The following is a 25740-nucleotide window of genomic DNA, read 5'->3' as shown; positions in this document are numbered from 1 at the left end:
CACATCTGAGGGTGCTGGATGATTGGGACTGAGCAGGTCTGGAAATGGGTAGAAGACCCTCATGCCTCTTCTCCTCCACCCCCACCTTACATCCATAACTTAAGTGAGCATGACCAGAAAGCCACTAATAACAACATCTCCACCAGCTCTATTTACCCAGCTGTGTATCTCAGGATCTGTCTCTGACATTTTTAATACTCTCTCATTTCTCTGTCCTCCAGGGATTCATTTGAAGAAGCCCACAGGGACGGGTGACACTGAGGAAACAAAACCCAGGCCCCCCGGCCTCCGACTGAGCCGTGCAGAGCATGCTGGGAGATCACCTCCACCTGAGGAGCACAAAAGACCCCAGGAGTGGAGGAAGCTGGCCTGAGGCCAACTGGATGTAGCAGACTTGCTGAGCCCAAGGAGGGAGGTCTGGTGATGGAGCCTCGAGTACATATCCTTCCAATCCTAAGGTAAACAGCGCTTGGGGCTTTGGCTACAGGGAGGTTGTGGCCCATTGAAGTGGGTGGTACAAGGCGGGTACAAGGCAGGCCTTCTGATTTTTTTTTTTTAAACTGTCTTATGAATTATACTGTACCTACAGAAAAAACACAACAGGAAACTTAAATGAATGGCTCAAAGAAATTGCAAACGTTTGCCCAGATCAAGACCTAAGATGTTATTAGCTCCTTAGAAGTCTCGCTCCTGCCCTCTCTAAATTGTTATCCTTCATCCATACCTTTCCCCAAAAGTGGCCTCTTTCTGGATTTTTAACAACAGTTTTGTCTGCTTTTTCACTTAATATAAATAAAATGCATTCTTTTGTGGTTGATTTATTTTCCCGAACACTGTGTATGTGAGCTTCCTTTCTGTTGTGTCTGAAGCTTTTGTTTGTTTATCATTGAATGTCATTTTGTTGTATGATGATATGATTATTGATTGATTCTTCTGTTGAGGGGTATTTGATTTATTTGCGGGTTAATGTGAATAGTATCATTATGAATATTCTTTTCCCTCTCTTGGTACACTCATTTCTGTTAGGTATGTACCTAGGAAGGGAATTGCTCAGTTAAAGCATGCATTTATATTTTTATGTATGTCAAAATGTTTTCAAAAGTGTTTGTACCAAATTATATTCTTACCATCAATGTGTAAGAGTTCAGGTTGTTCCACATACTTGGCAGCACTTGGTATTGTCTGTATTTTGAATTTATAGTAGTTCTGGTAATTGGGTAGTAGTATCTCATTGAGGCTGTAACTAGCATTACTATGATTATTATTGAGGCTGACCAACAGTTTATATGTTTGCCATACTTTTGGAGATCTTTTATGAAATGCCTGTTTGAATCTTCTGCCCATTTTTTTAAAATTGGGTTATCTCTCTTTTTCTTACTGATTTCTGAAGCTGTTTACATATTCTGAAAATGAGCCTTTACTAGGTGATAAGTGTTGCAAGTATCTTTTTCTTTTCTGTTACTTGACTTTTCACTGTTTTAATAGTGTGTCTTTGTGAACAGAAATTCGTATTTTATATACACATACACACACACACACACACACACACACACACACACACACACACATATATTTCCTTTAAATTTGATTTTTGGGGACTGTCTTTTGTTTTTGTTTAAGAAATCATTCCCTGCCTGAATAAAAATTAAAAAAAAAAACTCTCCTATAGTGTTTTCTAGAAGCTTTATTGTTTTTACTTCCATATTTAGATATACAATATATCATTTTGTTCTTTGATTTTTCTCGCATCATACAGCCTTCTTTTCTGTTCCTGGGATACCCCTAAATCCCATGTCAGAAAAGACGTGCAGCTTTATGACTTAGCAAAAGTGATAGCAACAACACAATCATAATAACCGAGATGCGTGCAAGACCTTGTGACACACATTTCCATCCATTAACTGATTTAATTCTTTCATATCAGCCCTTGGAAACTGTTGAAGTGAGCATCATAATGCCCATTTTAAAGATGGAAAGAGTGAGCCTTAGAGAAAAGTAACTTGCCCAAGTTCACATAGCTGATAAATAGCAGAACAAGGAGATTCAAATATAGATCTGCCTGGTTTCAAAATATATTCTCCTTTTATCGCCTGGTGTTGATTAAGATGACTTGAGGTTACTAAGTCCCTGTTACTCACAGTTTTGTGTAAGATTTTCCAAGAATCTCACAGGAATTTTGTGTGCAGCCAAAAAATTCCTGGTATTTCCCATGATGTCATTGGACTGAGATATAGAATAGGTTTCTTTTCATGTAATCTGCAGAGCAGAGGTGCACCAGAGAGTTGGGTCATCAGAGGGTTAACATTTTGACTTGCCTAGGGAAATAAGAGTTTCTTTACCTCTGGTCCTCCCTCATCCTCTGGGAAGCCTCGGATGCTGTTTTACAGCCTGGCTGATCTTACGGTAAATGATACAAGCAGCAGCTTTTAAAAATCCGAGTTGCTGCTTCGAGTATTAGAAATGCCTCTAGAGTTTGGTAGTTAAAGCCAAAGCAGATGGATAAACACTAGTAGCTGCCGAAGGTGGTGCATGATGTCAATGGAGAACAGGCAAGGCAGGTCTTTCGTAGGGGACAGCCGTTGTTTGACCTGGCAGCGCCCTCACTTCTTCAGGGACTGGTGATCCTTTGATAAATTGCTCCTGCCTCCTCTCTAAACATATGGTTTGAATAGAGGCTGTCCATGCTAGCTCCCCACCCTCTTGGGCTGGGTGATGGGTACAGCATTGGACACACCATCCAACAGAGCCAATGAGGTGCCTTCCCTGGGATTTTTCCAACCAAAGCAGGAAAGAAAGTCTGTTCCTATTTTGATACATCTCTGAGGAACACTTCCCAGGCAATAAATATCTATGAAATGAATGAATGAATCCCCATTGCCAAGTGAACTCTCAGAGGGTATCTCTGTTCATAGTGAGAATTTATCATGCTTTTGGATAAGTACGTGAATAAATTAGGAGAGCATGCGTGTGTTCATAAACGGGGATGTAAGAGAGTAAGTGAATAAATAAACAAGTGAATATATACTCTGCAATTCTGATTGTTTATATTTCTCATACTGATAGACATTTGCATTCCAAAGAGATCCACTTTGTTCCAGTTATCTTTGCTGTGTAACAAAGTGTCCAAAAACTTAATGGTATAAACAACCATTTCATTAGGTAACAGATTCTGTGACTCAGAAGTTTTGATAGAAGGTGCAGACAGGTGTTCTCTGCTCCAAGATGTCTAAGGTCTAATCTGGACATAATTCAATGGCTGGGATATGTAGGTGCTAAGCGAAGGGATTTCTAGGTGATCCCAGCTCCCAGGACCTGTTAAATCCTAAACCAGACCATGGCACTCCTCTGTTCAAAACGAACAGCTCACTCCAACCTCGTGACCTTTGCACTACAGCCCCCTCTGCTTGGAATTCTCTGCTACAGAAATCTGCAAGGCAGATTTACTTACAGGAACTGGGATCACTTAAAAATGCCATCGCTTAGCACTTACATATGGCCTCTCCATGTGGCCTGGGCTTCCTCTTAGTGTGGCAGCCTCAGGGTTAGTTGGAACTCTTACATGGTGTTTTGAGGTTCTAGCATAAGTGTCTTAGTGGACAGGGCAGAAGCGGTATTGCTTTTTATGAAGTTGCACAATATAACTTTTGCCATACTCTATTAGACTCTACTGGTCAAAACCTTAGAAGTTACACAATATAATTTCTGCCATACTCTATTAGACTCTACTGGTCGAAACAGTCACAGCCCACCCAGGTCTAAAGGATGGGAACACAAACCCCAACCGCTGGATGGGAGGGTGCAAGGTCATATTGTAGAAGAGCATATAGAATGGAAAATATTGTTGTGTTCGGAAAACAATCAGCCACATGATTTAAATCAAATCAATTGGTCTCTGGGGGAGTTTTTAGTTTTAGGAAGATATTTCTCAGGACTCCTGAAGTCAAAGCTTTAAGATGACCTCTTAGAGGATCTGTATATACCCTAGCACTGTCTAGAGCAAAGTATTCCACCAGGATTCACCAATGGAAATAAGACATAGTGGGTCGAAAATGGCCCCCAACTATGTCCACATCCTAATCCCCGAAACCTGTGACTGTGTTATCTTACATGACAAAAGAGCCTTTGTGTGTGTGATGAAGATAAGAACCTTGAGATAGGAAGAGGATAAGAGAGAAGCAGAAGTGTCAGAGTCAGAGAAGGAGATGTGATGCTGGAAAGAGGGCTGAGAGAGATGAGAAAAATGCTACACTGCTGGCTTTGAAAATCAAGAAAAAGTCCACAAGCCAAGGAAAGTGAGAGGACCCAAGAAACTGGAAATGGCAAAAAGTGGATTCTCCCCTAGAGCCTCCAGAGTGGCTGCAGTCATGCCAATGCCTTGATTTTTAGCCCGGTGTAACCCACTTTCAGATTTCTGACTTCCAGAACTTGTAAGATAATAAAATTTTGTGGTCGTATGCAAATAAGCCTGTGATTAGTTGTCACAGCAGCCACAGAAGACAGACACATACAAGAAAAACCCTTCAGCTTGCTGCCTGGGTTTGACTCTTAGACTTGATGCCCTCAGAACTTGGAAGACTGCAGGTTGATTGCTCACTGGTTGCTCACTTTTAGGCAGTCTGCCTTATGAAATAAGCTACAATGGATTCTAAAGCTTTACTGAAGTATGTCTAAGGAGAAAAGATTTACAAGGGACCTCAACGTTTTTTTCTCAATCCTTCATCACTGAAGTGCTTTAGAATCTTGCTCCTCAAAGTGTGGTCCCTAACCAGTAGCCGCCAGTGTCATCTCGAAGCCAGGTAAAATGAGGAATCTCAAGGTAGACCCCAGAGCCACTGAATCAGAATCTACATTTTAATAAGATCCCCCCAGAGATGTATGTGCACATTAAAGTTGGAGACACTATTTTAGAGATCTTATTGCGTCACCCCATCTTTCCAGAAGTCTCCAGAGTAAAGGTGAGTGTGGTTGTTTCCTTCTTTAAAATAAAAGAAGTGGCCTCGAATTTGAGCAGGCATGTCAAAACAGAACTAATGTCCCCAGCTACTGATGCAGGGAGTCCAATTCATGATACGTGTGGGGCTGATCGTTGCCACTTAATGCTGCTTCTAGGCTGAGCAGAGGACAGACACCTGTGTGCTTTCCTCAGCAAGTATGTACAAAGCAAAGTTTGCAATGTTTTAGGAATGAGGCCAGAGATTTCACCCAGCTGAGGAGCAACGCTCTCTCAAGGATAGATAAACCAAAGAGTTCTCCTCATGTTTCCTTCAAAATGGTCGTAATTTAATTTCTGTCCAATATTGCCTGGGTAGCATTGCAGACTCTCAGAAGCTGGTATTTTGTTTTGTTTGAAAGTCATGCTGTTGGGCTGTTTCAACTTAAATTCTCCCTAAGTAAAACTGTATAAATGCCACGTTTCTAAGTGTGCAAACCCCCAGAAACACACATATGGGGTGTACCAGAAATGTGGTTGGGGAAGAGACAGGCAGTAGACTGTGGCAAGAGAAAAAAAGTAGCCTCAAGACTTTTTAGGCCAAGATACTTTGGGTAGATCCTCGGTCGAATTCTGTGTTGAATCCAGGCCCAGTGATTCTCTTTTCCAGAAATGAAGTCAGACTTAGAACTACCTAAGAGGAGAAGGAAAATGTTGAGGAACTGAAAAGGAATTCTTGAGAATGAGAAAATGACAGCATCAAAAGAAAGGGGAAAATCACTCTTTTGCCTGGGGAGGTAAATTGCTTCCATTTTCCTTTTTTTTTTTTTTTAATTTTATTTCCTTTGGTGATGTTTCAGGGTAGCAGAAGATTTTGACATCTAAGGCTCAGAACTAAATATAGGGGCTTTCTTAAAGATGTGTGGAACTCCGATGGTTGGATTTTTCACATTGGGTTTTCTTTAATCACGCTAAGACTCTTTTAGGGGCTGAGTTTCTGCATGATCTATTATTGTTCAGAGTAAGGGAAGAAGGATGGTTTGATTTAGAAGTGGTTAAAAAATGAATTTTAAAAAACAGTATCATGTTAACAATCAATACAGAATTGTGTCTAACCAATTACACAAACAACTAACCAAAGCCAATTACCATAAAGCTTAGTATGTAAATATACAAACTCCTCAAGATGGCAGGATTACAAGTAAGTTGAAAAATGTAAGAGAATGGGGGACAGACTCTTAAGAGTCTCTGGCAGGCACTGTGCTGGGGTTTTGCACACATTGTCTTCCTTTATCCTCACTACATTCTTACCATGTGTGTTGTTGTATTCCAATTTTACTGATGAACTGAGCTGAAATTAACTGAAGCTTATTTCTTTGTGTTCACAAAGATGAAGTATGAAGTTGAGAATATAAGTTAGATCTGTGACTTGGGCTTTCTGGTTTCTATGGAGCCTCTCCTTGTTGACCCATTTTACAGATAAAGAAACTGAGGATCTGCAATGGAATCATCCAGCATTATCCAGCTTTTTTTTTTTTTTTGATGGAGTCTCGCTCTGTCGCCCAGGCTGAAGTGCAGTGGCACAATTTTGGCTCACTACGATCTCTGCCTCCTGTGTTCAAGCAATTCTCCTGCCTCAGCCCCCTGAGCAGCCCCCTACAGGAGCGTGCCACTATGCCTGGATAATTTTTTGTATTTTTAGTAGAGATGGGGTTTCACCGTGTTAGCCAGGATTGTCTCCATCTCCTGACCTCGTGATCTGCCCGCCTTGGCCTCCCAAAGTGCTGGGATTACAGGCATAAGCCACTGTGCCCAGCCTCATCCAGCTTTTAACAATGTTGGGCTTCAAACTGAGGAATCTCTGTTGTCAATATTAGACCTTGAGGTGGATTAAAATTGCCCATATGAAGGAAGTTCTTTATGGTGATGAAATAGTTCCACATCTTGACTGTGATGATGGTTACCTGTGTTTACATGTGATAAAATTTCATGGAACTCTGCATACGATACACACACACACAATTACATGTAAAAACTGGTGAAGTCTGAATATGGTCTGTTCCTGAGTTAAAAAGTACTGCAGTCAATTCCCTGTTTTTGGCAATACGCTATGATTATGTAAGATATTAACACTGAGGGAAGCTGGGTGCAGTAAAAAAACAGTCTCTCTATTTTTTTTTGCAACTTTTTGTGGTTGTATAGTAACAAACAAACAAACAAAATGACCACTCTGCAAATTCTTTAATGCTCCTCCAGTGGGGAGGTGGTGTCTCTGTTCCTTTCCATCAGATCTGGGAAGATTCTGTAACTGCTTGGCCAATAGAATACAGTTAGAGTGATGCCGTGTCAGGTTTCGGGCTCACACTTGTCTGTGGGATCCCTTCACCATTTTGCGTAAAATCTGACTCTCTGAGACTGCCACGCAGAGAGGCCATGTGCAGCTTTGCAGTCAACAATCCCAGCTGAACCTGGCCCTCCATCCATCCCTGCTAAGTCACCAGTCACATATAGGGGAAGCTGACTTGGACCCTCCAGACCAGCCCACTCTCCAGGTAATTAACACTGATGAGTTCCATTGATACCACTCAGTGCCCACCCAGCTGAGTCCTGCTCCAATTCTTGACTCACAAAAGCATGAGGCCTAATAAGATGATTATTGCTTTAAGCCTCAATGTTTTGGGCAGTTTTCTGTAAGACAATTGGTAACAAAATAGACTTTTTGTTATCTGATAGAGAAAAAGAAGGCTGATGAAAGGTGGTTAGATATGTAGAATTAGATGATGTGACATAGGCATATGCCTTCCTTTCATTGGGCTGAATACTCTAGGTTTCACCTTGAACACCACTTCCTCCAGGAAGCCTTCCCTGATACTGTAGACTGGATTTTGAGATGCCTCTCTCATGCCTCTCCTTTCCTACCTTGGTTAGCAGGCGTCAGAAATATCCTGATGTTATACTTTATTTCTCCCTTTCCTACTAGATAGCAGACTCCATGCAGGCAAGGACTACTGTTGGCCTGTTGTTGTTTTTAAGTGTTGTGGATACATAATAGTTGTATATATTTATGGGGTACATGTGATATTTTGACACACGCATACAATGTGTAATGATCAAATCAGGGTGACTGAGATATCTGTCACCTCAAGCATTTATCATTTTTTGTATTCGGGATATTCCAATTTCACTCTTCGAGGTATTTCAAAATATTCAATAAATTATTGTTAACTATAGTTACCCTATTGTTTACCAAACTGCAGATCTTATTCCTTCTATCTAGCTGGATTTTTGTACCCATTAATCAGCCCTCTTTTTCTCCCCCTCCCCACTACCCTTCCCGGCCTTTGACAAATATCATTTTACTCTCTATCTCCATGAGATCAATTTTTTTTTTTTTTAGCTCCCACATATAAGTAAGAACATATGATATTTGTCTTTCTGTGTCTGGCTTATTTCACTCAGCGTAATGTCCTCCAGTTCCATCCATGTTGTTGCAAATGATAGGATTTCATGCTTTTTATGGTTGAATAATAGTTCATTGTGTATATGCGCCACATTTTCCCGATCCATTCATCTGTTGTTGGATGCTTAGGTGGATTCCATATCTTGGCTATTGTGAATAATGCTGCAGTAAACATGGGAGTGCAGATATCTGCAAGGACTACTTTTGCCTAACATCATTACTCCACTCTGTCTGGTATATAACCTTCGATATGTGATCGCTGAATGAATAAACAAAGAGATGAATGCTCTCCAAAATCTGCCTTAGCTCCAGCCTTCTTCATTGTTTCTGGAGCTTTAGGGCAGGTAAGAAGGTTCCAGGTGTGTCTCCAGTACTTCTGAGACATCAGCCTTATCTCTGGGACTCCCAAGATCCTAAGTCCACAAATCCACCTGGTAGGCAACAGTTCAGAGGCAGCAGGAGCTGGGAGGGCAGGAAGGCAAGCGGTGTACTTGCCAATCCCCTACCAAGCTGGTATCTCCTGGTTTTCTTCTTTCCTGCTCAGCTGCTTCAGCCAGAGGAAGGCCGTTGCCACAGGCGTCTGTCCCCTAGGTCATCACCAGGGAGCTCCCTAGTATCACTAGGTGTTTGTCCCTGCAGTGTCCTGTGTCCCTGTTTAGATCCCGCCAGGGGGTGATCTGGCTCCTTCTGGACTGCCCTTGAAAATTCCAGTCACACTGACACAACAAATATTTACTGAGCATCACTCTCTAGCAAGGCTCTGGGCTGGGCAAACCCTCAACCTCCAGGAGCTTAATATCTCAGTGGCATCTCCATGTGGTAGAAGATGAGAGATAAGAAAAACAAAAACATAAACAAAAAATCTTAACCACTGGCCTGTTCCTAAAGAGGTCTAATGGTAAGCTGGAGCCAGCACTCATGGGCTTGCAAGAATCAGCTGAAAAACTTTCAAGAATTTCGTGACTTAGTTGTGAAGCCATCGGTAGGTTAAGATTGGTCATGGTGAGAATATCTGCATGGAGAAAATCAGCAAAGACTAGAATCAAGCTCCCTCACACCATCAAGTTTACCAGCACACCACTGCAAAATTCAAGTCCCCTCTCAACTTGTTTTTCTATCTGAAAAATGGAGATAAAAGTCCTTATCTCCAAAGATTTCACAAGTATTAACATAGCATAGTGCTTGGCATGTGGCAGGTGCTCAGGAATGACCCTGGCTTCTCTCTTCTTCCTGATCTAACATTGAAGGTTAACAATGGGTTCAATGTTCCTTTCAATGTATGGATTGATGTATCAACATCACTGAATAGGAAAGAGCATACATTTTAAGACGGAGCATGGGACTGTTTCCCGGGGTGATTAATTCTACTTTGGAATGTTCCTAAAGTTTTCCAGGATCTTATTCTTCCACCCTAGTATTAATAATGGAGTAGGGAGGACAAAGTCAGGCAGAGATACTGAGGGGGCCAATATGTGAGTGTCTGGGTAGTTTTTAAGTTGCACAGTTTAGGACAAATGTTTGAACAGATCATGACACTCAGGATACTTCTGTTTGGTCATTCATTCAAAAGCACATTCATACACGCATTGAGCTTCAGAATAGGGAAGTTACTCTCTGAGCTAGACTTTGGATATGTAGCTCTAAACAGATGTGTTACCTGAAGACAACCATGAAGCAAGTCATTAAAAGTACACAGGTATAATTGAAGGAAAATACAGGCCACTGCATGGGCATATAATAGGTGGGAATAATTTTAGTTGGGAAGGCTCCTCTAAGGCAGTGACATGTCAGAAAAGATTCAAGGGAAAAAATTCTCTTGTCAGGCTAATGGGACATGTGGCAGACAGACTTTAGGATGGTCTCTGTGATCCCTGCCTCCTGATACCTCATGTTATCCTGTCTCCTTGAATGTGGGTGGGACCTGTGACTTACTCTAACTAACAGAATAAGGCCAAGGTGACATGGTGTCACTTCTGTGATGCCATTTCATAAGACTGCAGCTTTTGTCTTGCAAGTAGACTGTCTCTGTTGCCATCTTGGTTTGCATGCTTAGATGAAACAACTATGTTGGAGAAGCTTACATGGCAGGGAATGGAGAGTAGCCTCCAGCCAACAGCCAGAAAGGAATGAGGGCTCTCAGTCCAACAGTGCATGAGGAACTGAATCCTGTCAAGAGCCCATTTGTTTAGAAGTGGATCCTTCCACAGCTGAGCTTTCAGATGAGACTCCAGCCCTAGGTGACAACCTGATTGCAGCCTTTTGAGAAACCCAAAGCAGAAGACCCAGCTAAGTCAGGCCCAGACTCCTGAGCCATAAAAACTTTGAGATAATAAATGTATTTTGCTTTTAGTTTTTGTTTAAGCTAAGTTTGTGGGTGATTTGTTATGCAGCATAGCTGACTGATACAAAGAGTGAGCAAGAATGTGTTCCAGGCACAGAGAACCATATGCATGTAGGAGGCAAAGAAAATAGAGTCTGAACATGGAGGAAGACCAGTGTGATGGAATGAATACAGGGTGATGAGAACTGAGTCAGGAAGGTAAGACCAGGTTATGTCCTGCAGTCCCATATGGGCCATGGAAGAGATTCTGGCTCTTATCTTGGGGACTCTGGGGAGTCAATAATAGCAAAAATGTAGACTCAACCCAAATGCCCATCAGTGATAGACTGGACAAAGAAAATGTGGTACACACCATGGAAAACTATGCAGCCATAAAAAGGAATGGGATAAAAGCTGGAAGCCATTATCCTCAGCAATCTAACACAGGAACAGAAAACCAAACACCACATTTTCTCACTTATAAGTGAGAGCTGAACAGTGAGAACACATGGACACAGGAAGGGGAACAACACACACTGGGACCTGTGAGGGTGGGGGAAGGGGAGGAAGAGCATCAGGATAAATAACTAATGCATGCAGGGCTTAATACCTAGGTGATGGGTTGATAGGTCCAGCAAACCACCGTGGCGCATATTTACCTATGTAACAAACCTGCACATCCTGCACCTATATCCTGGAACTTAAAATAAAATAAAATTTAAAAAAAAATGGAAGTGCAGAGCTTAATCAAATTTGCTTTCTAATATGCCTATCTGGCTGCAGTGTGAAGGATGGATGGGAAGGGCAAGGCAAATGTAGGGAGACCATATGGGTAAGATGCCATGGTAGCTCAGACTGGGAAGTGAGAGTAGATTCATGGAAAATTGGACACTTTCAAGGAATATTTTTGAGGTCGAGTGGGTAGGATTCAATGACAGATTAGATATATACAGAGGCAAACAGGACCATCTATTGAAATGAAGGAAGAAGTTGGTGGTTTGAGTCTCTTAAGGGAATTAGAACTACTGGATCAGTCTGGGGAGCTTGAAGGCTCATGTGAATGTTGGCCTTTTGATCTCATCTTCTCTATGGGGTTGTTTTCACCTCCCTTGGGCAGGACATTTCAGGATTTGCCTAGCTACTGAGCCCAATTAACATACTGTGTAAAGATTTCATTAGCACGTGGAGAATGCCTGGGTGCAAAGTAAATCACCATGTCATTTTGCTGATGCTAATTATTTCATCTACAAACAATCAAGAGTGTGACTATTGCTTGATCAGAGAAAAGTTGTTCATCTCCCTGGGGGAGCCAAGTCAGAGCCAAAATGACATGAATTTATTTGGAATATATGAAGTTCCCTACCATCACATTGTCGATTTAACAGGGATAGATTATTTGCAAGATGTGTTTGTGTGTGTGTGTGTGTGTGTGTGTGTGTGTGTGTGTGGTGTGTGTGTGTGATCTATACAGGAAAGTGAGCTTGATCCTTGCCCTGAAGGAGGTAAGATTCTGTTTAGAAAGGAGGGACATGAATGCATTTTTCCTTCATTTATGCATTCACACAATTTTTTTCTCTTCTTACGCATAGCTCATTTGTAAAGACTTTGATAATTGCCCTAGCGAGTTGCTAAACTTTTTGTACCTTGGTTTTCTCATGTGTGAAGGCTGACAGTCTGCACTTAAAATCTAGCTTTCTGAGTTCAGGTCTTGCTGGAGCAAAGTCAGGTTTTCCTACTAAAATATAAGCTCCATGGAAGCAGAAATATATTCATTTTATTCACTGCTGTGTCCCCAGTGCCACAGGAGGCTGCCTGACTCAAGAAGTATTTGCTGAGTAAATAAATGACATAATATGTGTATAGCATATGACGTCTAGAAAGCTCAGAAAATGGCCCCGGTTTTCATCTTTCTCTTCTTCCTTGCTCACTCTTCTTTCCCTGCTCTGTTCCTCTACCTCTGTCTTCTCACCCTCCTCCTCCATTATCTTCCTCTTGGTTTTGGGAGAAAGAGGAAAAGCACCCTCTCTCCCTGCCGGGTGATTTATTGTTGGCTTCCCCAGCATATGTAAACCACATTTATTTCTTTTCATATTATGAAATCAGAGGATTATAGTGCTATGAGACCTCAGTTCAGTTCTTCCTTTGAAAGGATATCTATATTTAGGGAGGTCGTTGGTGAGTATCACAGCTGTTCGTTGGTTTGGATACTATTTGCCTCAGCTCTGGAAAAACAAAAAATTACCCTGAGAACTGAGAGGGTGAGCAGGCTAGACTTTAAATCACTGCTGCTCAAAAGGGAATACTCATAGTTCCTTACTGATTCACCCATCCATCCATCCATCCATCCATCCATCCATCCATCCATTCATCCATTACTCACTCACTCACTCACTCACTCACTCACTCACTGGTTTATTTATTCTTCTGCCCAATAGGTATGTTCATCAGCAATGTGCTCAATCTTGTGCTAGGAATGGGGAGTATCATGGTGACCAAAAAAGATAAAGTTTCTTCCCCTACTTCTTGATAGCCTGTAAATTACCTACACTGTGTAGTGCAGGTAATATACAGTTTTACTCAATAGCAAGCAACTGACATGTTAATTCTATTGTAAAGTAGATGGGCCAGATTTTTCCACGTTGTTGCAAACAGCAGTATTTTCTTCTTTATTAAGGCCAAATAATATTAATATATATTTGAATATATATAAAATATTTTGTAAAAATAAAACATTTTCTTCATCCATTCATTCATAGATGGACATTGAGGTTGCTTCCATGACTTGGCTATTGTAAATAATGCTTCAATGAACATGGAAGTGTAGATATCTCTTTGAGATTCTGATTTAAATTTTTTTAGACATAGACTCAGAAGACAACTGAAAAATTACATGGTAGTTCTACTTTTTGTTTCTTAAAGAACCTCCATTCTGTTTTCTATAGTGGCTGTACCAATTTACATTCCCAACAACAGTACACCTGGGCTTTCTTTTCTCCACATCCGTGCCAACACTTGTACTTTTTTTCCGTTTTGGTTAATAGCCAAAACAGATGTAACAGGTGTAAGGTGATAGCTCATTGTGGTTTTGATGTTTATTTCCCTGATGATTAGAGATGTTGAGCATCTTTTCATGTATCTCTGGGTCATTTGTGTATCTTCTTTAGTAAAATGTATATGCAATTCCATTGCCACTTAAAAATTATATATATCATTCCACTGTCTCTATGGATGTGTGTATATATATTATATATGAGTGTGTGTGGAGAGAGAGTTTGTAAGCATTCCTTAGGTATTGAGCTATTGGCCTTTCATCAAACATGTTTTCTAAATATTTTCTCCCATTCCAGAGGTAATTTGGTTGATTGCTTTCTTTTAATTTTGTTGATTGCTTCCTTTGCTGTGTAGAAGCTTTCTCATTTGATACAGCACCACTTGTATTTGAGCTTTTGTTGCCTTTTAGTGTCATATTAAAGCAATAATTGCCAAGACCAATATCAAGACACTGTTCCTCTATCTTTTCCTCTAGAGTTTCAGGTCTTACGACTACATTTTTAATCATTTCAAGACTATTTTTGTGAATGTTGTATGAACGTGGTCCAGTTTTATTCTTTTGCACGTAGATATTCCGTTTTCCCAGCACTATTTCTTGAAGAAACTGTTCTTTCCCCATTGTGTATTTTTGACACCCTGGTCAAAGATCAGTTGACCATACATGATAGGTTTATTTCTGGGCTTTTGATTCTATTCCATTTGGTTATATATCTATTTTTATGCCAATATCATATTGTTTAGATTAATGTAGTTTTGTAACATATTTTGAAATCAGGAACTGTGATGTCTCCAGCTTTATTTTTCTTGCTCGAAATTGCTTTGGTTATTTGGGATCTTTTGTGGTTCCCCGTAAATTTTAGGATTGTTTTTCTATTTTGATTAAAAAAATAGAAAGAAAATGCCATTGGAATTTTTATAGAGATGGCATTGAATCTGAAGATAACTTTGGTTAGTGTGGGTACTTTAACAATAACAAATCTTTCAATCTGTAAATTTGGAATATTTTTCCATTTTTTTGTGTTGGCTTTAATTCATCTCATCTGTGTTTTATAGTTCTCACTGTATGAGTCTTTTACCATCTTGGTTAACTTTATTCCTAAGTATTATTTTTATACTATTGTAAATGGAATTGTTTTCTTAATTTCTTTTTGAATAGTTTATTGTTAGTGTATGGAAGCACTATTGGTTTTTTACATTGATTTTGTATCCTGGAACTTTACCAAATTTGTTGTTTTCTGTTTGTTTTGTGGGTCTTTTGCTCCTCCCTTCCTCTCTTGCTATATTCTTTCATGATTTTGTTTTTGTAGCTACATATTTTGATTCTTTTCTCTTTATCTTTTTTGTATCTATAATAGTTTTTTTTTTCATTTTGGTTGCTATGAGGCTTGCAAAAAACATCTTATAATTGTAACAGTCTATTTTAAGCTGATAACTACTTAACCTTAATTGCATATAAAAACTCTACACTTTGTCCCCCTGCTACAACTTTGTATAATTGGTGTCATAATTTACTTATTTTTCTATTGTGTATCCATTAACAATTTTTGGTAGCTATAGTTACTCTTAATATTTTGTCCTTTAAATTTTATATGAGGATATAAAATTTAAAAACTGATTTGGGCACCATCATTACAGTATTATATTATCCTACATTTTCTATAGGTTTGCCTTTACCAGTGAAATTTATACTTTCATATGCTTTTATCTTACTGTTAATCTTCCCTTTGTTTCAACTAAAGAAACTTCTTTTAGTACTTTTTTATGGCAGGTCTAGAAGCGATAAACCTCAGTTTTTGTTTGTCAGGTAAAGTCTTTATCAATCCTTCTCTTTTAAACAACAGTTTATCTTGGTATGGCATTCTTTTTTGCAGTTTTTTAAAAAATACTTTGAATATATCATTCCACTGTCTCTTGGTCTGCAAGGTTTCTGCTAAGGGATCCACTGATAGTCTCATGCAGATTTCCTTGTACATGATGAGCCTCTTGCTGTTTTCAAAACTCTCTCTGTCTTTGATTTTTTATAATTTAATTTTAATGTGTCTTGTGTAGATCTCTTTAGGATTAGCCTATATGGAATTCTTTAGGCTTCATGAATCTGGATGCCTATTTCTCTCACCAGATGTAGGAAGTTTTTTATCGTAATCTAGTTAAATAAACTTTCCTTCTCTTTCTCTTCTTCTTTTGGGACTCTAATAATCCATATTCTTTTTTGGTTTGATAGTGTCCCCAAAGTCCCATAGCTATTCTTCACTCTTTTCACTCTTTTGCTTTTTGTTCCTTTGGATAATTTCAAATGACTTCTCTTAGAGTTCACTGATTAAACTCAAATACTTGATTGCATTTACAGTTGAAGTTCTGTATTTATTTTTTTCAGTTCAGTCAGTGTATTATTTAGCTCCAGAATTTCTGTTTGGTTCCTTTTAATTATTTCTTTATCTTTTTTGAACTTCTCATTTTGCTTATGTATTGCTTTTCTGATTTTATTTAGTTGTCTATCTGTGTTCTCTTGCAGTTCACTAAGCTCATTTAGGACAACAATTTGGAATTTTTCATCAGGCACCTGACATTCTCATTTCTTTAGATATTCATTTCTTTAGCATTTGTTACTAGAGACTTATTTTATTTCCATGGTAGTGTTGTAGTTCCCTAATTCTTTGTAATCCTTGTAGCCTTGCGTTTGTTATTGTGCATTTGAAGAAGTAGTCACCTCTTTCAGTCTTTACAGTCTGGCATGGAAGGCCCTTTATTAGTCAGCCTGGCCAAAGATTCTGAGTGAGCTATTTGGTGGAGACCACAGAGGGGCCCACTTCCAGGATCCACAGGTGGGTGGGCAGATGGACTTGGTGCTTGGGTCTATGTGTGGGTCTGCTGCTGGCCTCTGCAGGTAAACTTGCCGCCAACAGGGTTTTTGGGTGAACAAGTCTGCTGAGGGCCACAGGCAGGAAAGTGTGCCTGGTACTTGGACCCACAGGTGGGAGGGCTTGGTGCCGGGGTCTGCAGGTTGGTGGGCTTATTGCTGGCATCTGCAGGTGGTCCTCTCCCTGGTGGGTAGGGACAGGTGGTCCTGCTGCCAGTGGCCAAGGACAGGTCTTCCACTGGGACTCCAAGCCAGCTGTTGAGATCTGTGTGCTGATTGTTGAGAGGCCCTGCTTCTTTTTGTTTTTAGCTACTCCCAAGCAATCTAACTGTGTTGGCTCCCTCGGTGTTCTGGATGAGGCATAACGGAAGTAGGCATGTCAATTAGCACTCCTGAAGAGCATTTTCCCACCTCTCCTGAAGCAGTGAACTGAGGCAGTCATAATTGTGCCAGGTGATCTGTGATCCCTGGCCTTATCTGATTGGGCCAGTGATAGTTTATAGGTACAACTCAAGTCAATCTTTTTTTTTTTCTTTTCAGGAATTAAATTAAGAGACATGGGACTAAGGACAAAGAGTCTGTAAGGTCAGGCATGGTTGGACCCAATGTCTCCTGATGGCTGATAGCATGCAGAAAAAGGAGCAAGTGTGTAAAGTAACCTGGTGGTCAAGGGAAGAGAAATCAAAGTGTGATATAGCAGAGATGAGCAAACACATGACCCATAAGAGAAGGACTGACGGTCCCATAGAATTGCATGCTGCCTCTTATTTGTTGCGATTCCTCAATTTTATGGTAAAACCTCATTGCTTAAGGAAGCTTAAGCTAACTTAGTCTGAGTGTCAGTTTCTTAAAATCTAATTAAAGGTTGCTAAGTTAAGAAAACAGATAGAAAAGAATTCTAAGACATAATTCTTGCCCTCAATGAGTTTACTGTCTAATAAGAATAATATCAAAAATTACAACAGCAATAGGTATCATGTACTGAAATCATGCTATATCTCAGATTCCTTGCATTATCATATTTGAGCCTCATAATCCTCTGAAGTACATAGAACTATTTCTTTTCATTATACTGACAAGAAAGTGGGGCTTAGAGAGAATCAGTTGCTTGCCTGCAGTCACACAGCCAGTACACATTGAAATCTAGTATGGAAATCGGTAGTCTGCCTCAGAGTCCTCTCTGTTAACAACAGTATGCTTGGCTGACTAGTTAGAGAAATAAGAAAAGCAGAATCACAGAGAATGAAGTGAGTGGCAAATGAATAAGAGTGACCATATTATGCAGATTCAGAGATGAGAAATGTTTACTGTGAGCTGATGATAAGCAGAGAAAGGCAGTTAAGTTTTGGGGACCTGAAAGGATTGCATCAATAAATTAAAGTAATTTCACAATAATGGATTTAGATTCAGAATGCTTAGTGATGGATAGAACTGAAGTTGATAGTTTTAAGGGAAACGTTTTTGTCATAGGTATCAAGAACCTTAAAAATGCCCATAATGTTTAGCAAATTAAATCTACTTTGGGGAATACGTTACGAGGAAATAATATTTTGTTGATGCAGAAGATCCCCTACTGAAACCCAACTTATAACACCAAAGAGTTAGAGACAACCTAAATGTTCAACATGGGGGACTGGTTAAAGTGTGTAACATCCACTTAATGATGAGCTATTGCCTCTCGTTTTCAATCCCATCCTTCTATGCTTGGCTTTGTGATCCTGGGGATAAGACTGTGCACCCACTTCTCTGTGAAAAGTGTGCCAGTAGGTGGCTGTGAAAAACAATGAGAAGCCTGGAGGAAAAGAAGAGTCTTGCTTCTTCCTGATCAGAAGATTAATTTCAGTAGCAGCTTCCAAATCTACTTTGCCGTTTTCCACTCTATCAGAACTAATCTCACTGGGCTTCCTCAAGGATTTCAGTAAACCATCCAGATAGTGCCTTATTTTCAGAAGTCTGGGTCTCTGCTGTGCTGTGCCTATCTTTAGCCTTACAAATCAAGTTTAATGGTACCAACATCTTTCCTTTGTTCTCTGGTCATAGGTGTGGACGTTGCTTCTCAAGTGGCTATCTTGGTGATAGCTCATTATGCCTTATATGTCTTTTCGCTTTACTGTGATTGATCAATAAGCCATGCAGGATGATTCACATTGCAGAGAAAATTTTATCCTTCTCCTGCTACTGGTGAGTTAGCAAAGTTTGGGGTGACAGTCAATGAGCTAGCCACCTCCAGGAGATAGTAAAATTAATTTTGACATGATACATAAGATTCTCCTCTACTACCTGCTTAACAATTCCTTATGTTACATTCTCTCTTGGTATTAGTTTGTTCTCGCATTGCTGTAAAGAACTACCTGAGATTGGGTAATTTATAAAGAAAAGAGGTTTAATTGGCTCATGGTTCTGCAGGATGTACAGGTAACACGGCTGGGGAGGCCTCAGGAAACTTACAGTCATAGCAGAAGGTGAAGTGGAAGCAAGCATCTCTTACATGGCTGGAGTAGGAGAAAGAGAGTAAAGAGGGAGGTGCTACACACTTGGAAACAACCAGATCTCATGAGAACTCACTTGCTATCACGAGAACAGCAAGGGGGAAATCCACTCCCACGATCCAATCGCCTCCCACGAAGCCCCACCCCCACCATTGGAGATTACAATTCAACATGAGATTAGGGCGGGAAGAGAAATCCAAACCACATCACTCTCTTAAAATAACTGGTTTGCTATCTGTCTGTAGCCTGGACCCTGACTGATAGAGACAGTTATGCAAAAATATATGTAACATGTGGCAACATTTACTTTCTAATATTAAATGGGTAAAAACAGGAAGTAAAACTGTAAGGACAATATGACTGGAAGCTTGTTTGTAATGTGTAGGAAAAAAGAATAAAAACAAATGTAAAAAAAGTGACCAGTGGCAGCCTCCAATAATCAGTAAACACATCCACAGGATAGAAAGTCCCCAAGATGCTACTTGGCTAAATCCTTCTCCTGCTGTATCTCATGAGAAGCCAGCATGTCTGGATTGAGACACTTCTGAATTTTTTTCTACTAGGTCTTTTCTTTTCCTTGCCTGCCCCCTTTGGAGACATGGTAGGGTCCTGGGTATCATCTACAACACAAAGAAACTTGGGGAGGCTCCCTTTGATGTGGGCATGGTCAGGGACGGAATCGCTTTAGGAAGACAGCCTGATGGATCTTGGGCCCCATTTCTATGGCAACAAAGCTGCAAGGCCTGAACGTCTGATTTTGTTTTGGGATGTGGCGGCTGCTAATTATAGGCAGCTCCATGTCCCTTTGCTCTTCCCTAGAATGGTCTCTATTTGTTGTCAAGGTTTATTTACTTTCTTTTTTGGACTTCAGTCCTCCTACCCTTCTTGCACTTTACCCTTAAATATGTGAGTGAATATACGTGTGTGTGTGTGTGTGTGTGTATGTCTGCATTCATTCATGTGTGTGCTGTATATATGTGTGTGAATATATATAGATGTGTGCACTCTTTATCTATATTTATATATATATTTATATATAGATAGAGAGAGAGAGAGAGAGAGAGAGAAATCTTTGTTGTATTTAGTGCTGTGTGCTTTACTAGTTGTTATGGAAACCAAAAGCCAGATTTGAGCAGAAGGGCCCAAGGTGTCCCTTAGTCCAGCTGTAAAGCACAGGAAACAATTTTGGGCCCCAGGGATGATGAGGAGAGATGAAAGGAAGAGCATAAAGGAGTGGAAGGGGGTGAGGATGTGCGAAGAAGATGAGTTAGACGGGGCCCACTAAGGCTCATTCATCAGAAGACGTACATGTACGTGAGTTGGCCAGGGGCCTCCCTTAGCAACTGGCACATCTTCAATGAAGATTCTCTGTGCTGCACTGTCTGCTTTCTTCTTTCCTAGAGGTTGATCTGCAAACTTCTCTGCTTGGAAGGCTGACTCCGCCTTTGGGGCCCTGGTGAGTCCTTAGGAGGAAAAACGTGGCAGGCCTTCCACAGGCTCCCTCCTGGGACTGATGCACACACAGCGGTGAGGGAGGCAGGAGCCTTCCTTCTTAGTCTCAGTCTAAGTCACTTCTGTCCAATATGGTAGCCACTAGCCACATATGGCTATTTAAATAAACTAAAACAAAATAAAATAAAAAATACTGTCTTTTCTCTGTACTTTCTGCTCAGTGTTTCTGTAAACCTAAAACTGCTCTAAAAAGTGGTCTATGAATTTTTAAAAAATTTAATTCCTCAGTTGTCCTACATACATTTCAAGTGCTCCTAGCCACATAGCGACTGGTAGCTATTGTATTGGATGAATAAAGCAGATGTAGACCATTTCCATCATTCTGGAAAGTTCTATGGAACAACTTTGATCTCAGTAATAGTGTACCCTTCTGGACTAATCCTTACATGTTCCAGAGCAAAGAGAAACTATTCATTCATTCAGCAAATATTTACTCCTTGCCAGAATTGTTCTGGGTGCCTAGGATTTCGCTGGGACAGACATACTTCTGCCCTTGTGAAGTTTATGTGCTGGTACATCATAGGTGTTACATAGATACAAATGGAACATGACTATGGGGAAAAAGAAAGCAGGTGAAGGAAAATAGAGAAGGCTGGGTGCTGGGGTAGTGGAGAGGGTTCTATTTGATAAAGGGTATTCAGAGAAGGCTCACTGAGGAGGTGACAGATGGCAGAGCGGTGGCCTGAAGGAAGGGAATGAGGGAGTATGCCTTGCAGATTTCTGTAGCAGAGAATTCCAAGCAGACGGGGCTGTAGTGCAAATGTCATGAGGTTGGAGCATGCTGCTCATTTTGAATAGAGTAGTGACATGGTCTGGTTTAGGATGTAACAGGATCCCTCTGGCTGTGAAGTGGAGAGTACGGGATGCCACAGAGTGACCAGTAAGAAGGTTGGTGCCACATCCCGAGTGAGAGGTGATGGTGGCTTGGACCAGGGAGGTAGCCTTGGGAGAGGTGAGACGTGGTCAGATTTCGGGCGATACCCTGAAAGTAGAGCAGGCAGGACTTGCTGCTGGATTCACGTGGCATGAGAGAAAGAGGAGTTGAGGATGATGAGAAGGATAGAGTTTGCAATTATGGAAATGGGGTAGATGGCAGAAGGAGTGGTTATGCAGGGACGATAATCAGTATAGTTGTGGAAATAGCAAGTTTGAGATGCCTACTAAATATCTGAGTGTTGATCTCTTTATATGAGTGTATTCATTCAACACGTATTTGCTGGGCTCCAATACATATCCAGGACTCAGTCATTTGCATATAAGAGATGAGCATAACTCCTTATTTTCAACTTTCTCTAATTGATCCATTAAAAAATAAACATCTTTTTTTTCCTTTGTTCTTGCACCAGCTTGTACTTTAAACTCTATATTTAGCAGAGCACTGGGATGACTGACTTGGTCCCTTGATTCTACTTTTTTTTTTTTTTTTTTTGCAGTTCACCTAGTTCACAGCCAGACACTTTGCTGGGTTGCAGAGACACTAAGAACATAAAATGCCAGCCCGGCCCTTGATAAGCTGACAGCCAGTGGGAGTTGCTAAGGCACAGGACAAAGCACATGGGCTTTGGGCCCATCAAACCTGATTCATGAAACTGGCTCTACCGCTCACGAGCTCCTTAGCCTGGGGCCACACACTTAACCTCTCTGAACTTGTTTGCTCATCTGTATAATGGAGCACCTGACACCCAACTCACAGGACTGTCAGCAGGATCAGAGAAAATGCGTATACATTCACCTGCACAGTACCTGATATATGTAAGTGCTTATTTAATACATGGTGGTTAGCATTAACTTTACTGTTACCAAATGAAACAGACACATAACAGGAAAAATTATCATATATATTGTGTTAGGCACTTTTAAAAACAGATCTGAATAAAGTGTTAGGAGACAGGATAGCAGAGGGTAGGAATATGGGCTTTGGAGATAGATGTTGATTCCAAACCTAGCACCTCCATTCATGCAGTGAGTTGACACTGGGCAAGTGCCTTGGCATTTTGATTTGTAAAATGGGCACAATTACCTATTAGTACCAACTCACAGGTATATTGCTCATTTTTCTTTTTTTAAAGAGATAGGATCTGACTCTGTCGCCCAGGCTGGAGTGCAGTGATGGGATCATAGCTCACTACAGTCTTGACTTTCTGTACTCAAGCGATCTTCCTGCGTAGCTGGGACTACAGACACATGACACCGTGCCTGGCTAATTTTTGTACTTTTTGTAGAGATAACATCTTGATTTGTTGCCTAGAGTGGCCTCAAAACTCCTGGCCTCAAGTGATCCTCCCACCTTGGCCTCCCAAAGGGCTGGAATTACGGGTGTGAGACACCTCACCTGGCCTGGAATGTTGTGAATGTAAAGGGGATGACACATCATACAAAGGGATTCACACTTTTTTTTAGCTATAGGGCTTGCTCAATAAGTGTGCATTGCTGCTATTTCCACAGGAACACAGGTGGCCAAAGAAACCTCTTAAGAGGGAAAAAATGAATCACGGGGAATATGCTCATATAAGAAATTAGGGAAAGAAAAGAAAGAAAAAAAAACAAAGCCTTTTTTTTTTTTTTTTTTTTTTTTGCTGGGTATAGGAAGGCATCCCAGGCTGCTTCATCATTGCCCTGTCCAGTTCTGACAAATATCTTTGACATCCCCAGAGAGAACACTGAGGCCCTTCAAGATTTTAAATTCTCTGAGAAGTCTTCAAAGGTCTACTTTGACTGTAGTAGAAGAGTGACTGGTATCTTCGGAATGGTTTTGAAGTTCAGTGGTAAACATGTCTTTTGGGCTGTATTTTTATCAAGGAACATGTAAATATACCAGCGTGCCCTCTCCCTAAGTCCCCAGGAGCCTTGATGTTTTCCTAGATGTCAACTCCAGCACTTCCGTGAGTGGTAGAGGCAGTGGATGCTCATTCTAAACAAGGTGGTGCAACCAGTTTGTTGTAGGTGTAGTTTTCCTGAACTGGTAAATTGTCCAAAACTTTCACTGACTGTGCAATCAGTCACTCCTTGTGCTACTTGCAGACTTGGCTTGTGGCCTGACCTACTTCACGTTTACACAGGCCCGAAGCTTGCCTGCAAACATCATCGGGGAGCTAGAGATGACGGGCAAGGAGTGATTCATTTCTTTGGCCGTGAGTTGCTTAAAGCAACTCATTTGCGTGCTTGGGGTAACCCCCTTCAAAGTTAAGCAGGCAAGGTGAGCCTTGCTCCATCTGCCCTCAGTAAAGAGATGGCATCCTGCTGGTTATCTTGCTGACATAGCTGGTCCTGCTTAACCAGGTGAGGCAGAGTGTGAAGAGCTTCTTCTGGCGATCAGGCAGACCTGGTTATGAACTCCGATTCTGCTACTTAGTACCTGTAGCCAAATTACTCAAGTCTCTCTGCTTCTCTAGTTCCTCTCTTGCAAAATGATTTATGAGTGGATTAGGTCTATAGATGGCAACATTGTCATGAAAGACTGTTGTATGGATCGAACACACAATAATCTATGCCCAATACCTGTTAAATAGATATTAATAAACTCATATTTGCTGACTGTGTGCCAGGCACTGCTCTAAGCACTTCACATTTATCAACTCATTTAATCTTCCTAACAAGTCCATGAGGTTATTATTGTCCCCATTTTACAGATGTGGAAACTGAGGCAGAGCAGTGTGGTCACTTTTCCAAGGTTACACAGTTAGTAAGTGGTCAACCTGGTATTTACAGGATGGCAGACTCCAAATTTCATGTCCTTAATTACAGTTAATACGCCCTTTCAATAAATGATCCCTGTTAGAATTTTATCAAGCCAGTCTTTACTGGGTGTCCTTGTGAGTTTGAACACCACTAGGAATCCGGAAATAACCCCAAGCTTGTCTTTTTCCTACTGTGGAAATAAGTGACTGATCTCCGGCCATCAAGATCTGTATAATTCTATACACTTATTTATAGCAAGACATAACTAAATTCCTCCCACTCAGTCTCTCTCTCTCTCTCTTACCCCCAGAGGGCCTTTCAGTAGCTTATTTGGAGTGAACACCATCCAGGGAAAAAAAATTAGTTAAGAAAAACAGGAATTAAGATGTCAAGACAGATTGCCGACAGGACCTTTGATCTGACCAGAAATAAATATAAAAGAAGCTGCTGAGAAGTCTCTTGCCTGATTTCCATCTAAACCACTAGAAGTCAGACCCAATTCCTGCGGCTTCAGCCTGGCCCCAGGACTCGTGAGGACTGGGGTATGATCTCCACTTCGCAAGGGGAAGCCAGTGGCTCTCTAAATCTTCCTAGAGTGCCCTGTGTCCTGAGGATGGGGTTGGGCGGGGGAAACATCCATTGAAATCAGGATGGAAGAAAAGTTCCTGAGGTGAGTGTGATTTGGTGGGGCAGTGGAAGATGAAGCTCATTGACAATGGGTTTTACCATTTGGGAAATGGTAGCAAGTGTAGCAGGCATTTGCTCATCCCTTCCCATGTACCAGACACTGTGCTAAGTACTTGGATGCCTCATCATACTTCACCATCACAGCTACCCTAGGAAGTATGGAGTATAATTATTTCCCTTTTATAGATGAGAAAACTGGGGTTCAGAGTGTCTTATCAGGCTGCCCAGGGCCATAATAACTAAGGCACAGCAGGGCAGAGATTTGAATCCAGGTTTTATGATTCCAATAGCTGCTCATTTAACCAGTAGTCGGTTCTGAAATAATGACTGGAGCCTAGAAAGTTGAGTTTCTCAAAGGAAATTTTCTAGTTTGCTAATTTGGTTCTAGAGCTGCAGGATTATAGGGGCAGCAAAATGAATATTGCCATTTATTGAGTACCTGCTGTGTGTCCAGTATCATAGGAGAGATTTTCGAGGGTCAAAGAGGGGTATACAGGCCAGGACTTGGGGAAGGAGTGAGTGAAGGACAGGGAGGATCCAGAGATGGCTTGATTAATAGGTGATGTGGATGCTGCTTGCTGAACCATTCACCAGATTAGGACACTGAAAGAAAATACCTGGGGGTGAGCTGGTGAGGAGATACTGTGATTATCCTCCCAGCAGCCATTCCCTTTATTTCTTACAAACAGATTTTGCCCCTGCTTTGGACTGTTCTCTAAAAGTGAGCCTGTGACCCAATTCTAATCAATGAGACTT

At 40.9% G+C, this 25740-nt stretch overlaps 1 long non-coding RNA gene across 2 annotated transcripts in view, besides 1 other annotated feature; it reads left to right on the top strand.

The window, feature by feature from the left end:
- LOC105370003 (uncharacterized) overlaps positions 1-25740 on the top strand; it is a 389555-nt gene that overhangs the window by 355513 nt on the left and 8302 nt on the right. The window contains exons 3-4 of one of the 2 annotated variants that reach the window (XR_945388.3): positions 222-458; positions 590-1053. This is a non-coding gene — a long non-coding RNA (uncharacterized LOC105370003). Of the gene's footprint in view, positions 1-221; positions 459-589; positions 1054-25740 lie in introns of those variants that run through there. The other variant, XR_945389.3, reaches the window with a different exon arrangement.
- Positions 19615-19909: a silencer, noted in NCBI's record as "tiled region #1364; HepG2 Repressive non-DNase unmatched - State 5:Enh". NCBI's record gives its function as "represses a minimal TATA promoter and a strong SV40 promoter by Sharpr-MPRA in HepG2 cells {active_cell/tissue: HepG2}" and the evidence as "EXISTENCE:reporter gene assay evidence [ECO:0000049][PMID:27701403]".

This window comes from Homo sapiens, chromosome 12 (genome assembly GCF_000001405.40).
Source record: "Homo sapiens chromosome 12, GRCh38.p14 Primary Assembly".
Classification (NCBI taxonomy): Eukaryota; Metazoa; Chordata; class Mammalia; order Primates; family Hominidae; genus Homo; species Homo sapiens.
Note: the sequence above shows the minus strand (reverse complement) of the source record. Positions and strands in the feature narration are given on the sequence as shown.